Source organism: Homo sapiens (genome assembly GCF_000001405.40).
Source record: "Homo sapiens chromosome 14 unlocalized genomic scaffold, GRCh38.p14 Primary Assembly HSCHR14_CTG2_UNLOCALIZED".
In the NCBI taxonomy this organism is placed as follows: Eukaryota; Metazoa; Chordata; class Mammalia; order Primates; family Hominidae; genus Homo; species Homo sapiens.
Window position 1 is genome coordinate 182922 of NT_167219.1, and position 4113 is coordinate 187034.

General features: G+C 35.5%; 1 pseudogene; it reads left to right on the top strand.

Annotated features, from left to right (window-relative positions):
- The first annotated feature begins 330 nt into the window (after window positions 1-330).
- On the top strand, window positions 331-467 carry LOC124905317 (uncharacterized; annotated as a pseudogene).
- Window positions 468-4113: the final 3646 nt, after the last annotated feature.

Consider the following 4113-nt stretch of genomic DNA (forward strand, 5'->3'; position numbering starts at 1 on the left):
TAGAAACTTATTTGTGGGGAGTGGTATATTAATACTCTACATAAACATTGATTGAGCTTGGGGGGACTTTCTGTAGATACATTTAAAAATATGTTTTTTAGTAGAGACAGGGTCTCACTGTGTTGCCCAGGCTAGTCTCTAACTCCTGGGCTCAAATTATCCTCCCCACTTGGCCTCCCAAAAGGATTGGATTACAGGCATAAAGCCACTGCCCCAAGCCTAAAATTTTTTAAAGTACCATTAGAATGTAAGGATTCTTTTTAAAAAATATGATTGTGCAGGGTTGGTTATTCAACCAGTATGCAATACAATACTCAATACTGTATATTCATCACTTCTCGGCCTTTTGGCTAAGATCAACTGTAGTATCTGTTGTTATTAATATAATATTTTATATTCAACCAATTGTCAATACAAGGCTGGTTGTATCTGATATGAACCAACATTGAGTTAAAAATGGACCTTTTTTATTTTTAAAAAGCTAATTAACTAGATTTGCTTACTTAAAATCAAAGCAATCAACTCGTTACAAGTCTAGAAATAAGGATTTTAAAATAAATTTTGAATTTTGACCTTATCTTTTCCCAGAAAGACTTTAAATTGATACTGGAAACCAAATAGGATATATTTTTGGGAGATTTGAGGCTATTAAAACAAAGGCAAACACAGAAGTGACCTTCTAAAAGTCCTAGTAATGATTAGGTCCATTGTTTCAATTAAAGCATACCGTGCTTGAGAGATAAAGTGTATTAAATATTTGACTGTAACTTTGTATTAGAAATATGTTTTTCAAATCTATAAAAAGATTTACAAATCTATCTTTACCATGTTTTTTAGTTTTATGGTATTTCTTCCAGACCTCTCTTCCTGACATCTCCATTAGTGTCAAGTATTTCTTCAACCCCCAGTGATTCAACGTGAGCCTATTTTTTAAAATGTAGTCTGGAAGCAATATATAACATAGTCAGGAAGCAGTATGGATATATGGTTAAGCATATACACTATACACTTAACTGGGGTTAAGCAGAGATCATACTGCCTGACTTTAAGCACCTGCCCTACCACAGATGATCTTCTAGAAGCTGTTTAAATTAAACCTCTGAAGGTTTACATTTCCTCATTTGAAAAATGGAAATAAAAAAGTAAACCCTCATGAGGTCCTTAAGAGTTTAAATGAAATAATCCATATAAAGTGCTTAAGTGCTGAACATAGCATCTGGTGTGCAATAATCATTCTATAAATGCTAATTGGTAAAATTATCATCATTGTTGTTGTTAGTCCATATATAGTAGTAGCATGGAACCAGGATTCTGAAAAGTGTGGCCTGCAGATCAGGGCCAGTGCAGACTTACTGGTTTGCAGTGAGATCCAGAGCTTGTGCCAGAATGTAAATAGGCGATGTCACTAAACATACTGATTACTGTTCAGCTGACTTTTTAAAAATAGCAAGACCTCTTCAGTGTAGGAAGCAGTTAGTTGATTTACATTCTGGTGCAAGCTCTTTACCTTGCCACAAACCAGCAGCAGAGTTGACGTGGAGTATTGGACCGATGATCCCACTCTCCAAAAAATAATAGTCCTTTATTCTGAAGACGTTATTATTCACTCATAATACCTCATTAACTTTCTTTTTTTCTAAACATTGTAATAATAGATTATAAGTATATTGTTTATGAGTTCAGCAGATATTTACTGATCACATAGTTTGTGTACAGACCTGTATCTTATTTTGCAGGAGTTGCAAAGCTGGCTCAGAAATTAATCTTGCCTTTAAGAAGTCTACCATAAACCCGCAAGAGGAAATAAGTGAAAATCTAAATAAATGTGTTGAATATATGCAGTGAGTGTTTGCAATAGTGTTATAGCTTGGTTCCAAAGATTTCAATATAGACGGATGTTTCCTTTTGCTGAGCTTCTACCACAATAGGACAGAATTAATTATCTTTTTGGAAATGGAGTCTTACTCTGATGCCCAGGTTGGAGTGCAGTGGCGCACTTCAGCTCACTGCAACCTCCGCCTCCCAGATTCAAGCGATTCTCCCACCTCAACCTCCTGAGTAGCTGAGATTACAGGCATCCGCCACCATGCCCAGCTAATTTTTGTATTTTTAGTAGAGACGGGGTTTCACTATGTTGGCTAGGCAGATCTTGAACTCCTGACCTCAAGTGATCCACCCGCCTTGGCCTCCCAAAGTTCTGGGTTTACAGGCATGAATCACCACGCCTGGCCAGAACAGAATTTATAACTTTTACTTTTTCAGCATTATGCTATCACAATAAAGTTCAGCGTTTGCTTTATTAAGATAGTATTTGAATCTTCTAGGAGATTCAGAAACCTGCAGTACTAGGGAAATTTCAGTTTTAGATATAAAAACAAAATTATAACTTTTAAAGATTTGTATTGTAGAAGATTATCCTTAAGTGTTTTTTAAACTACTAATTTACTATTTCACCCTTCATGCAAATATATGAATTATAAATGATTGATTGTTCCATAGAATATGAAGAGACATTAAATAAATATTAAAATATTTATAAAGTTTTGGTTAAAATGAGCACAATTTCTTCTCGAAAAAATTCACTGCCAGCCTGGGCAACATAGGGAGACACTGTCTCTACAAAAATAAAAAAATAAAAATTAGCCAGGCATGGTGGTGTGTTCGTATAGTCCCACTACTGGAGAGACTGAGTCAGGATGATCAATTGAGCCCAGAAGTTGGAGGCTGCAGTGAGCTATGATCATGCCACTGCATTCCAGCCTGGGCGATGGAGTAAGACCTTGTCTTTAAAAAAAAATGCATTGCTCAAACAGAAAATGTTGAAACAAATTCTGGAGTAATATAAACATAATAATTTTTAAAAGGCAAGGTGTGTATATTTTACATATAAATATGTATATTTTATAGTATAGGGTTTACAAACTATGAGTCAGATCATGAGACAGATTTATTTTTGCAGACTAATTTACTGTTGAGAGGGCTTAGGGAAAAAAGGAAAATAATGCAAAATGTTCAAGTCCAGAAATGTTATTTCATTTTTAATATTTCTTAGAATGTTTTGCGTGGAAGTGGATGTATTGGTTTCTCTTATTGCCATGCTTGGTGCACCTGCTCGTAATCACTTTTGTTGTGCCTTTTGCCATAAATTGTTACCTAATCTCACTAATGACTTTAAGAAAATTGAAGGTGGGTGTTAGAAAGATTATAGGTAATATTAAAGAATATAAGGCAGGCATGGTGGTGTGTACCTGTAGTTCCAGCTACTCGGAAAGCTAAGGCAGCAGGATCACTTGAGCCCAGGAGTTGAATACAGCCTGGGCAACATAGACTCTGTCCCTATTTCTAAAATTAAAAAAAAAATACACACACAAACACATACAATGTAAAATAAAGAAAAGAGAGTAACCCGAAATTTAAGAGGAGAATTATGAGGAAAAACAGAGTAAAAAATGAAATTTGGATCAAGAAATGACTAGGTAAGTTAGACCCATGGCACTGTAATCACAACTTTTTTACCATAGCAGATCAGGTATTTTGCGATCTGTCCCCTATCTCATCTTTGAACTCATCTTGTACCAAAGTCTTTCTCTCCAATTAGGTACCAGCCACCCTTGCCTTCTTTTAGGTAATTGTCTGTAAGGTTGAGTCTACATATCATAGACAAATAATTTTTATTTCCACACCCCACCCTCAGCCTCACCTAACCAGACCTGCCTGTTCAAACTGTGTCCCTACCACACATAGTAGGCCCTCAAATATTGGTTGAATAAGTAAATGGAAAACGCAAAAATGGAGGCATTAAGGATGAGAAAACTTGAGGACACAGAAGACGTATTAGATTTTGAATGATATCGATGATAAAATACAATCAGATGTTGCTCTTAGAAGCATATGATCCCTAAAGGATAGAAAATGACTCATTTATTATTTACTCAGCCCATAATTATTAATTAGTCACCCACTATATTTGGATTTAAGAGTGGAAATTACCAGTGAAGACGGTATAGCTCCAATAACAGTGTAAGTAAAGAGACAGAAAGACATGGGGAAAAGATAATCACTAGTACAAACGGTTCAAGAGTCACCTCATACTTGATGTTGCCTCCTCAGCAT